The sequence below is a fragment of the Homo sapiens genome, chromosome 3 (genome assembly GCF_000001405.40).
Source record: "Homo sapiens chromosome 3, GRCh38.p14 Primary Assembly".
Lineage (NCBI taxonomy): Eukaryota > Metazoa > Chordata > Mammalia > Primates > Hominidae > Homo > Homo sapiens.
This window is the reverse complement of record NC_000003.12, coordinates 126,659,603-126,672,016: the sequence shown is the minus strand read 5'-3', so window position 1 is coordinate 126,672,016 and position 12,414 is coordinate 126,659,603. Positions and strand designations below refer to the sequence as shown.

Below are 12,414 nucleotides of genomic sequence, written 5' to 3'. Positions count from 1 at the left end.
AGGAAATCCAACATATAATTCATTTTCCTGAAAAAGAAGAAAGAATAAGTAAAATGAAAACAATATGTGAAGATGTAATCAAAGAAAATTATTTTAAAGATATACCTGAATTTGCAAATCAGACATAGCTGGATGAAGTTTCCAAATGTCAAGGGTAAATTTTTAAAAAGATAGTTTCTATACCAAAAAAAAGCAGTTCCTGGTATGTGGTTGTCTTAAAGATATGCACACAACTTCTTTCTGTTCTTCTGTGCCTGAGGTGATGCTTACTTCCTCTCCCCTTGAATGTGGGCTGGACTTAATGGCTCATCTGTAGGTGACAGAAGACAGCAGGAAGTGACAGTGACGGTATGTCATTTCTGAAGTTAGGTTATAAAAAGATGTGGATTCTAGCATGAGTTCTCTCTCTCTCTCTCCAGTCACTCATCAAGGGAGTAACTTGCCATCAAAACCTTCAAAAAGCCCATGTCACAAGGACTTGAGTGGGCCTGGAAGAAAATCCATCAGCCCTGGGTGAGCCTCAGGTAGCTGCAGCCCCATTCGTCAGCTTAGCCGCAACCTCACAGAGACTCCAAGCCGTAATCATCTAGCTAACCTGTTTCCAGATTTCTGACCCACAGAAACTGTGGGATAGTAAGTATGTGTTGTTTTTAGCTGCCCAGTTTTGGGAAAAACTGTTCTGCAGCAATAAATAGCTAATACACAATACTAGGTGGGAACTTGTTCTCAGAATTGTCCATATCTACACCCCATTCCAGAAGAGAGAGAGGGAAATCTACAAACTCAGAATGAAAGTATGAACAAGAATGTTACAGTTAGCTAAACTGTTCATATATATGTATGTAACAGGCAGACCTTCTCAAGCATGAAAAAGCTCAGGGCAGACAACAACCATGATCCTTTTTGAAAAAAATTTACTTGGAACAATTCAAACAAAGCAACAAAGAAGTGATTAAAATATTAAAATTCATAAATGCAAAAGCCATGAGAAGGTTAGTGTTTGACATCAAATCTACTTAAATATTCACTTAAATAAGTAAGACTAAATTGTGAGAAGTATGGTTACCAAGCAGAATACTAATATTATAGAGGCTGACAATGTAAAAAAAAAAATGATAAAATGTACAAAATCATGAGTGAGAAGGAGGAGAGGTAGGAGAAAGTATAAGTGTTCTAATTTCTTTATTTTTCTTACCAGGAAGTGAAAACATACAGTTGAAAATTGGAACTTGTTAATAATAATGACTTTAATTTCATTGTTTCATAATCATGTTTTTTAAAAGAGATCTTTGAGGAACTAACATCTTTTTTGAAAAAAAAAGTAGTCTGAAAATTTTGAATAAATAATTCCTACAGTTTTACTTTAGCCTTTTTTCTTAAAATTTCATTTATGTTTTATTTTATAATTAGCATGACCATATTTTGTAAAATAGTTTCTCTCTATATCCTATCTATTTAAATGTTTAGAGAGATATCTGGAATAAAGATCATCATACATTGACAATAAATCATTATTGCAAGACTCTGAGATGATCATTATCTTATATTTTGCTTTGTCTCCTTCAACTTTTTTTTTTTTTTTTTTGAGATGGAGTCCTGCTCTGTCGCCCAGGGTGGAGTGCACTGGTGTGATCTCAGCTCACTGAAACCTCCACATCCCAGGTTCAAGCGATTCTCTTGCCTCAGCCTCCAGAGTAGTTGGGATTATAGGCCACTGCCACTATGCCTGGTTAATTTTTTTTTGTATTTTTAGTAGAGACGGGGTTTTGCCATATTGACCAGGCTGGTCTCGAACTCCTGACCTCAGGTGATCCACCTACCTTGGCCTCCCAACCCTTCAACTTTTATATGTTGCTTGAGTTATTTGAAAAAAAGACGAGCATGTATTATTTTTGAGTTAATGTTTATTTTATAAAAGGAAACAGGAGATAAGTTGAATATTCAATTTAAGGAATAGGAAAAAATGCAAAATGACTCCAAGAAAATAAAACAAAGGAACTAACAAAGGTAAAAGTATAAATTTGTGAATTAGAAAGCAAAAGTGAATTTGATCAATCAAATAAAAAACTTCCTTTGAAAAGGATCAGTAATATAGACAACTCTATGGTAAAAACTGATGTAGATATAAAGAGGAAAGACACAAATAACTAACAATAGGTAGAGGTCAGGTGCAGTGGTTCACACCTGTAATCCTAACACTTTGGGAGGCTGAGATGGGAGGATCACTTGAGGCCAGGAGTTTGAGATCAGCATGAGGCAAAATAGTGAGATCCCGTCTCTACAAAAAATTTAAAGAATAGCCAAGTATGATGGCACAAACCTGTAGTCCCAGCTATTTGGGAGGCTGAGCTGGGAGGATCACTTAAGACCAGGAGTTCAAGGGTGCAATGAGCTGTGATCACGCCACTATGCCCCAGCCTGGGCAATAGAGCAAGACCCTGCGGAAAAAAAAAAAAAAAAAAAAAAAGAAGAGGTCAAAGATATGATGAGAAAAGGCAGGCAGGCTCATGTTTGTGCAGCCTAATGGGAGTTCCTTCAAGGAGCCTGGAAACACAGGCCTCTCCCTCCGTGCCCAGTGAGGGAAAATTTTACCTGCCAGGATGTGAGCTCAGAGGGCAGCATGTACAACTCCAGCACCAGGATCTTCCTCAGGGTAACTGTGCCAGGACTGAGCCTGGGCAAGGCACCACCTAACTGCTCCTTCCTCTCACAGAGATATCCTGCTCCTCACTGCCACCATCTCAGAACAAACCCGGTTCCACCTCCCAGGCTCCTCTAGCTGGCTCTGTCTGGCCACGTTCTTGCAGGATCCACATATACACACACAGGGGCCTGGCGAGGAGCTCAGTCCAGCAGATGATCAGCCTCATGACATCAGCTCAGATCTGATCCTGGGACGCCCAGGTTCTCCAAGGCCCTGGTGACTCCCCAAGCCTGTGGCGATAGCACTTACCTGGGAACTCCAGGCCCCTTCTCTGCAAGACCTCTGATGTGTCCACCACCTGTGTAAGTCCCCTCTCTCAGGCCCCTCAGGGCTGCTGCCTCCTCGGCCTCCCAGCCTGGCTCAGGGGCAGTCACTCGCTGGCAGGTAAAACTGTTCCCTGAGCTCCCCACTGGCCTCTGATCAGACCAGGTGGACACCCCTCGGGCCTGGGTCCTGGGCCCATGGCTAATATCATCTGAACTAACATGTGATTGTCCAAGAGGAAACTGGTCTGACTCCCTCCCTCCCAGCTCCTCCCCACCTCAGGGGCATCAGCAGGCAGCAGCCCCTGCGGCCCCTGCCCCGCAGGCTTCACTTGAGGACTGGACAAGGCAATATTGGAAAGTGCGCAAGGGCGCCTCAGCCTCTGTTGGGTGTTCTGTGCATGTTTGTTAAATAAACACAGATGATTATATTAATGGCCACTGGGACACAGTGAGTGCCAGACTCTCCCTGTGTGAAGGGGCACCCCAGACCCTAAGTTCAGAATTCCTTGCTACTTTTGCAACACATCAAGTGAGTTCCCACCTCCAGGCCTTTGCCAGTCCCTCCCATCCTGAAACACGACTCCTCTGTGAAGCCTTCGTTCGGCCCCAGCTCTGGGCTCCCACAGCACCCAACGCACATGGATGCCCATCCCACTGCAATGAGCTGCTGTCACCCCCCCCGAAGACTGAGAGCTTCTCAGGGCTGGGTCTCACAGACATGATACCCTCAGCAAAGGCACACAGGCCCCGCCCTGCTTGCATCTCACAATGTGCATCTGGAAAACACTGGGCCAACCCGCGCAAGCCAGGGGTCTTCACGACAGGATGTCCCACAGCCTTCAGTGTGTGTAGGTCCCCAGAGCAATGCTGGGTTTTGCAGTGTGTCCCCGCAACTGCTTTGTTTTGGGATACCTGTTAACAAGTCTCACTGCCTGTGTTCCATTAGAGCAATCTAGGAGAGTCCCCAGGCACTGGGGACAGGACCCTGTTCCCACTGAGTTGGGTGGGGAGGCATTCGTCCTACTCTAGATGAGCTTCGGGCAGCCTTTGGGAAAGCCCGTTCCTGGGCCTGGGCCTCTCCCCTAGCCTCTATCCCCGCTGTCTCTGGAGTGGGCAGGAAGCAACCTTTCAACCCATCCCCGGCTTGGGTCCTGTGTGCCCAAGGCCCACCTGGGCTTGAGCCTGGAGTTACAGGGGCTGGTGCCCAGTCCCATTTCCCCACTGGCTTGCTGGGCAACCCTGGTCAAGTCCCTTCCCGTTTCTGGCCTTGGTTAACACAAAGAGGGACTTAGTAGATTCTCCCTGGCACCTTCTAGCTCTGACATCTCAGGAGGAGCCAGGGCCTCTCACAGGGCTAAGGGAAGGGGAGTTTGGCCTCTGGGATAAACCAGGAGAAACTGGGGGCTGCTAGACATCATCTCAGAAAATGGTCAGAAGCTACAGATTCTGACCTCCCAGGACTTTTGTGACTTCCCCACATGGCCACTTCTGTTAGGAGAGGAACCTACCCACCCTGTCTGTGTGGTTAGCGTTTGGGAGAAGGGAGTCCCATTGAGCCTTGGGAGAGGCCAGAAAGGGCCTCTCTGGGTATGAAGGTGGGACTTCCTGTGGGACAATGTGGCAGGAACCCTCCCTGCCCCTCGGGGTGCTGGCCTGGGACAGGGGTGGGAGATGGGCTCTGGGCGGGTGGTTACCTACCTTGTGATGCTGCCCTTGGAGATCCAGGATGTCCCGCTTGGTGACAGACCAGTGGAAGGTCAGGCCTGGCATGGCATTGCCAAAGGAGAAAGGGTTCTGGTGGTTGGTGATCCAGGTGATATAGATGGACATCGGTGGGGAGAAGTCAGGCCTGGTGACCAGCGGGGTGCCAGCACTGGGAATGCCCCCAGAAGCTGTGCTGCCTCCTTCAAGCAGTGGGAGATGTATCCAATTCTTCCCCAGCTAGAGAAGGACATGGCACAAGTTTGGGAATTTTGATGAAATACCAAACAGTTAAACGAGAGGCGGGACTGTTTTCCCCACACTGTGCCTCCCCTGCCGCTGGCTGCGCCTCCCCATGGCCAAGAGACCCATTTTTGGAAGGAGTCCCTGGAGCTCTAGGAGGCTATGTGTCCCCCAGCAGCACAGCTTGCCCTGCCCCACAGTGCTGGTTCCTCCGGGCCCCTCTCTCCTAATCTAGCCGGGGTCCCTGCTCACAGAGCACCCACGGGTGGGGTCCCTGGCTCCTTCAGTCTCTATTTGCTGAGAGTCTGCTGAGGGCACACTTGGAGGCGAGAAGGCAAAAGGCCACAGCAGGTGCCACACCGGGCTGCCCAGTCCACTGCCAGTGCTGCCACTTCCTAGCTGTGTGGCCCTGGGATGAGTCTTAAGCTTTCTGTGCATTCATTTGTTCATCTGCAACATGGAGATGGTTCTGACACCAGCCTCCCAGGGCTGCTATGAACACCAAACAGATTAATGTCCGAGACAGCATGGAGTGGAGTAAGTGCCACGGTCATGGTGCTCCTGTTAGGCGCCTGGTGCTATCTGAGGTGTGGGAAGGTGACAGGCTAGCAGGAAGCAGGCCTTCATCAGTGGCTGCAAGAGGGTGTCAGTCTGGGTAGGGGTGGGTGGGAAGCTGCCACTGCACCCCTAGATACCCAGGCTGGGCAGATGGAGGAGGTGGAGAAGCACTGTAGCTCGAGGACAGGGTTATAGCAGCGGCTCTTTGGGAACCAGGATTCAGAGCCCAGGAGGTCCCCTCACCTGGGTGCCCATCCTTATCTGCATGATGGGGCTGCGGATCCTCACGGCTCCAAGCAGCAGCACCTTCACCTGAACGAGGTCCTGGGGAAAGAGCATGGTGCTCAGGTGCAGGGCACCAGAATGCTGTGCTGGCCGGGGATGTTTCTGGAAGGGACCTCTCAAGGGAAGGAGGCTGCGGCTAAGAGGCTGTGGCGAGAAGGCCCCTCAGGATGCCTAGCACCGTGCTCCTCTGCCAAGAGAGGCCTGGTTTTGTGGGCGGTTCACCCCACATGGGCCAGCCACTTCCTCTCCCACGGCCCCGCAGGTCCCAGCCCAGTGCTCTGAGGCTGCCACCCTATCTCATCCAGCTGCTTCGGGTCAGCACTTCAGACTTGGGGCCAGGGACTGGGGTCTGCTCTTCCCTAGGCCAGGCTGCCCTCAAGCGACAGGTCTTCAGACCCTCCCAAACCCAAATCCAGCTTGCCTGTGTCTGACTAAGCAGAGTACAGGGACAAATGCAGGAGTCCAGTGGAGTCTGATTAGAGCAGACCTTATAACCTCCTTCATGCTCAACTCTATACTCCTATTAATCTGGCCAAAGACTAACTCTCCTGGCTTCTTTCTAGTGCTGCTGACTCATGTGGAACTGACATGATTAAACCTCTTAGACTCTTTGCCACGCGCTCATGCTGAGCCCACATTCTGTGCCTCATGACTTGGGCTAATGCCTGGCACACAGTAGGTGCTTGATAAGCACCCATTCCCCTCCTTTCACTTATCCTTCTGCTCAGTCTCCTCCTGCTAGTCCTGGCCCACCCCACGGCCTTGGGGTGCTGGTTGTGTGAACTGGATTGGACAGATGGAACTGGAAGCATCTGACCAGAATCACATTCCAGGCAAGGACACAGGGGCTGCCGGCGAAGCCCCTGCCTGCCTGGGCTCAAGAAGATGCCTTTCAGATGGGGATGGTGATGCAGCCCCTCCACCTGCCAAGGGCCACCAGGGCCTTTCCCCAGCACCTCCCCAACCTGTCAGATGGTGGACCCAGAGGGGAGAATGCCAGCAAAGTCAGACAACAAAGAGGAGGGATACTCAGTGCCCTGTGTCCCTCTGGCTGAATTTCCAGCCAGCTGCCCTTTTAGCTACTGGAAAATGAGCCAGTTCCTGAGGCTGCAATCCTTTTTAGAGAAACAAAACAAAACAAAACAAACAAACACAAAAAAACCACAGGCCTCCTGTCTGTAAGTCACAGTACTGAATGTGATGCTCTGGGAAGCCAATCTGAACCCTGCCACGTCCCCAGGACAGATTTTAACATCCCCAAGACTTTTTCTTTGTCTTGGAAATTGACACACACTGGATCTGGGCATCCACCTCTGTGATTCAGACTTTGTGGCTTAACAAGGATACTTGGGCAGGCACGGAAAATGCTGGGAAAAGGAGTAAATCACTGAACTCAATGATGGATCAAAGTCAGCCTCTGAAAACAAGGACTTCCCTGCGCCCCCTCTAGGGCGGTGCACTCGCCAGCTCCCTGGGCTCTGTGTTTACAGGCTCTGAACTCAGGACTGCATGGACTGCTTCCAGGGGACCTAGTTCTCATGAGGAATGGGATGACTGATTCTGAAACAGGTTTCTGTCCACAGTTGCATTAAACATCACAGAAGGCTCTTCTTACAGACCAAGTTTCTGGTCCAGCTGTGAGTGGAACTCCAAAGCAGCCTTCCCTGAGATGATTCTGCAAGTCACTGCTGGCGAAGGAGGTCACGAAGAATGCAAAGGCCCCAATTTTAGCCCTGAGCCTTCGTCAGAAGGTGGAAATGGTCTCACCTCCTCTCCAGAGGACCAAAGGAGACCCACGCCTCACAACGCGGGGAAGTTGTCAGACTCTCCAGACACCGACTTTCACCTGCTTGAATCAGTCCCACCAATGTGGGGCAGGGAGACCCTCTGGGGAGAAGACGGCCCTAACTTGGCCTCCTACCTTCACTGCCAGCCCAGAAAAGCAATTAGGAAAGTCCCCCACCCTGCACAGAGACTGGGAAGATGACTTAACCTCTGCTGGTGTAGAAGATGCTAGCAGATGACCCAGGTTTTTCTCTCCACCTGGAAATACAAATCCAGGGCTGAAGTACAATTTTTTAATTCACCACACATACACCACACTACTCCGGAGACATACAATGCACCCAGAAGGCACTCTCAGCCCACAGCACCCCTTCTCTGCTATCAGCACATGCTCAAGCCCAGCTTCAAGTGACCAACAAAAGGCCCGAGAGCTCTGATGCTGGGCAGCCCTGGGCCCAATCCCAGAACTGGCACATGGTGACTGTGGTCTGCTAGCTAGTCCCTCAGTCTCCCATCATCAAAGGGGGACAGCAGGAAAATGCACAGGGCACCGAGAGGACTGAAGGACATGAAGGCAAAGTGTGCGGAGCGGCGCCTGCCCTCACCACGATTGCCATCATCCTCCACTGGAAGGGCCCTTTGGGGCCGGGGGTTGCTGAAGACCCTGTCCCGTAAGGAGCAGCTGGAAAGACTGGGAGACTCAGCCTGGAGAAGAGCAGCCTCTGGGGGTCTGGGTGCTCCCAAGTCAGCAGGGCTGTCCTGCACAGGGGGCCCTGGCAGGGACTGCAGACCCAGGGGGCAGAAGCAGCACCCTTGGAGAGAGGTGGTCCTCAGAGGTAGAACCCAAACACAGTAAAGAGGCCTTTGTCTCGGGCACAGCTGCCCTGGGAAGCAGTGGCCCATCACCACAGCTGGCTGTCCTGGGGAGTTCAGATAGTGCCAGTCTCCAATAGCACGTCTGTTACCTGAGAGATGATGACCACCTTGCCAGTCTCTGCATCCACCACCTGCACAAGCCCAGACACAGTGCCCTTCCCCATGGTGAGACCTGGTACCAGCCTGGAAGCGCTCACCAGTGCAACGTTCTAGTTGCTGATGGAGAAAAGGATGTTGGACTGAGGCTGGGGGCTGCCCTCAGAGGTGACCTGAGTGGGGAGGAAATAGCAGTGCATCAGTGCCTACTGTGCCAGGCAGCCTGTGCCTCCCCCAGATGGAGCCAGGGCCTCAGTGCTGATGGCTTCCACCTCTACACAGTCACCTCGTGCTAGGACAGAGGCAGTGCACCAGGAGCTGCGGCTGCTGTGCAGTGGGCACACTGGGGCTGGAGCATGATGTGGCTTCTCAGCTTTCACCTGCATCATGACCCGGATAAGCAGTGTCGCGTTCCTGAGAATCAGCCCGAGTGGAGGAAAAACCGGTTGAGACAGAGGAGAGAAGGAACTGCTGTGCCCTGAACCCATGACTTACACACCACATGTTTCATGAGAGGAAAACTCAGGGCACGAACATCACCCCTATGTGAGCAGTGACCTGTGGGCCCCAGGGTCCTGGGGGCTGCCTCCCAGCCACTGGCCGAGGCTCTCTGGTTCTCTGGGGCATGTTCTGCTGTTTGTGACTGTGCTCCACTTCCCCAGATGCTAAACACCATGAAAACAAGGACCTTTCATGCAGCTGAGCCTTCCCCTTGGATCAGCAATTCTCAGTGTGTGGTCGCTGACTAGCAATGCATACCCTCCAGCCACCCCGGCCCATGGAGCCAGAGGCAGCCCTGCATCTGTGTCCTAACATGCCCTCTGGAGATGCTGGTGTGGGTCAAGCTTTGCCATCCACTGCCTTTAGGACTCCCCAACTCCTTTTTCGAAGGTTACCTCCTTCCCTAAATTTCTCCCAATTTCTGCTGAAAAACACCTTAGAATCGTTCTTGTCAGTGCTCTCAAAACTTTTCAGATGAGGATCAAGGAGCTCAGCAACAAGGACTAGCCCAGGAGGAGACCAGGGATGCCGGTGCCATGCTGTGGAGGCGGTGAAGCCCCCACCTGCTCCTCCTGCATCCCCCCCAAGTGCACTCCTGGCAGGAGAAGGTGAGTGAACACAGGAGGCATCCAGGGCACTGCTTGTGTGGGAGGATTGGTCTCTGCAGTGCTGTGCTATTGCTGGTCAGAAACAAATTTCTTATTGCCAGAAGAAAGGTGCGAGTCCATCTAGAGGCACAGACAGTACCCACGTGCTTCAGATCACAGATTAATGATGCTCACCAGCCCCAGCGTGGCCCAAGCACAGGGAGGATGTTGGCAGGGCTGGTTTAATGTTGCTGCTGTAAATAGACTTGGAATGATCCCCGGGCCACGACTGCCATGGCTTGTGGCTGCAGTGCTGCTCCTGTCATAACCTAACACCCCGAGACAGCCCCACACCACATAATGAGCCCATGAGTGACCTCAGAGCTCCCCTTGTCCAGGAATCACCTACTTCAGGAGTTGCCTTTGTGACATCTCTGCTGGAGGAGGTGACCATCAGGAGGACTCACACCAATGTGACAATTGGGGAAGCTGCTCGGAGCTTCAGGTCCATGAATGGGAAGTATTTGGCCAGAAGGGGATTCTTGTGCAAGTCCAGCATGCGGATGTTTGCCTTCACTGTCTTCCCAATCTCCGCCTGCATCGTGCAGACAGAGGCTCAGGGATGGCCTCTGAGAGACCAATCTCACCATCTATGGTGCCCCATGACTTTCTGAGATACTAATAGCATCACCAACCTCAACCCACAGACCTGGGAATCAGGGATGAGTCACCCAGGTTTACCTCTGGACTATCAGCCAGTCAGCAAATGAAAATTGATGAAGCGCTTATTCCAAGGGGTGGGTCAGGGGAGGGTGGCTGGGGATACTTACAGGCATAAGTTCCACTCCCTACTCTTAAATAACAATACACTAATTAGGGAGATGAGACACTGCTTAGAACAGCAGCAGGCATCCAGTAGGAGTTCAGTAAATGCTCACTGACTGAATAGCTCACACCTGGCAGTGTAGAATATGATAAGAACCTTAGGAAATGAGAGTCAGAAATACACAGTGAAGAAACAGAAAATTAGCAAACAGCAGTGGAAATGAGATTATAGGAGGAGTATGTGAGGCTGGATAGAGCATATTAGCTTCTTAAGGAGCCTAAGATGCCCTTTTAATTACCAGCCCTTCTATCCACTCAGGATCCCGACCACAACCCTCTGGAAGCCCAGCTTCAGTCACCTCAGATATTTGGAGTAATAAAATTTCGCTATTGACGTGAAAGATAAAACGAGATCTATTCCTTTTCCTTTTTTGCAATGGTGCTTGGCGTGGGTGAGCTGTACTCATTTGTCACTGAAACTCCAGAGAACCCAAAACCTGTATTTTCAGGGGGAAATCCATGCTCAGCAAGACATGTGCCTGGCTGGTTAATAACCTACACCAGCTAAAAGACAAGAATTCCCAGGTCACAGCTAATTTAGAGGCAACTTCCAGCAGGATTTACTGCCAAGCCTCATGGGGATGTCACCTGGGATGAAGAAGTTCCTTACTGGAGGGACTCTGCATCCTTAACATAGAGCGAAGGAGATAGAAGACAGCTTTGCAAGCTCACAGGGGAAGGGATGCAGACCCCAGGAGCAAAAGTGAAGGCCATAGGAAACATCCCACAGCCGCCTCACTCTCCGTTCCTGCAGGTCTGCTGAGGGGGCCCCATCATGAAGCTTCCACTGACCTTATCAATCACACAGATGTACAGCTCCTGAATGTCTGACACGTAAACGACAGCCTTGGCCAGGGCCGGGAAGATGAGGCACAAGTCATAGGTCATGATGCTGGTCGAGCCAGGGAGCAAAGGGTATACCTGCAAGGTTCGGGGCTGGGGTAGAGGGGTGGGTGGTGGATTACGTGGCTGCAGAGCCCCCCCTCTGCTCAGGTCCGTGAGCAATGCCTCACCCTCAGCACCAGCCTATCACCTCACTGGCAGAGCCCTCCAGGCCAGCACTAGAAAGCAGTGGACAAGGGAAATCCTACCCCAAATAGTGCCCTGCCCACCTCTCATCACAAGCCCCACTGCTGGCCAGGAGCAGGGATTGGGATATAACATGTCAGTGCTCAGCTAGATCTCACCGAACATTGATCTCCAATTTGCACATTTTACAAAGGGAAGAAAATGGAAGCTGATCAAAGAGGGGCAGTCAGCAACCTTGGGATGTGCAGGAACTTGGGGACAGAGTGAGAATGCAGTCCCAGGATGCCACGTCCTGAGCTGGCCACCTGCCGCTGCAGCCCTGGCGGTAGAGAAGCACCCCGTGAGGTCTTCTGTGAAACTGCAAGACAGGGACTGGCAGAAAACGAGACAGCTACTTTTCAGCGGCAGCTCTCCCTGAGAAGTCCCAATCAGAACGGACTGAATCACAGAACCTGGGAGCAGCCTGCAAGGCCACCCCAGTGTGAGCTCCGTGCATCTCGCTCAACTCTGTGTCTGATCAACAGCCCCAGCTCTGTGTGAAGCACTGACTGCTAAGGTGTGAGTGAATGAACAAACCAGAGCTAGAGTTTTCCAGCCTTTTCACTGCCAAAGACCCTTTTAACATTTATTTATTATTTTTTTAAGAGACAGGGTCTTGCTCTGTCTCTGAGGCTGGAGTGCAGTGGTAGGACCATAGCTCACTGCAGCCTCAAACTCCTGGACTCAAGCCATCCTCCCAACTCAGCCTCCAGAGCAGCAGCTGGGATGACAGGTGTATGCCACTGTGGCTAGAATAGATCCTTGTTTTTATTTTTTTATTTCATTTTTTTAGAGACAGGATCTAGCTCCATCACTCAGGCTGGAGTGCAGTGGGATCATCACAGCACACTGCAACCTC

The 12,414-nt window shown here is 51.1% G+C and overlaps 1 pseudogene across 1 annotated transcript, besides 2 other annotated features; it reads right to left on the bottom strand.

Annotated features, from left to right (window-relative positions):
* On the bottom strand, positions 78–9,936 carry NUP210P1 (nucleoporin 210 pseudogene 1; annotated as a pseudogene). The gene is made up of 5 exons (NR_034158.1): positions 9,798–9,936; positions 8,508–8,687; positions 5,716–5,796; positions 4,669–4,911; positions 78–310 (listed from the first exon to the last, which is right to left on the bottom strand). The product of NR_034158.1 is annotated as a nucleoporin 210 pseudogene 1 (transcript).
* Positions 229–308: a silencer, noted in NCBI's record as "silent region_14679". NCBI's record gives its function as "represses an Ori minimal core promoter by ATAC-STARR-seq in GM12878 lymphoblastoid cells {active_cell/tissue: GM12878}" and the evidence as "EXISTENCE:reporter gene assay evidence [ECO:0000049][PMID:35858748]".
* Positions 11,737–12,031: a silencer, noted in NCBI's record as "tiled region #1093; K562 Repressive non-DNase unmatched - State 13:Ctcf". NCBI's record gives its function as "represses a minimal TATA promoter and a strong SV40 promoter by Sharpr-MPRA in K562 cells {active_cell/tissue: K562}" and the evidence as "EXISTENCE:reporter gene assay evidence [ECO:0000049][PMID:27701403]".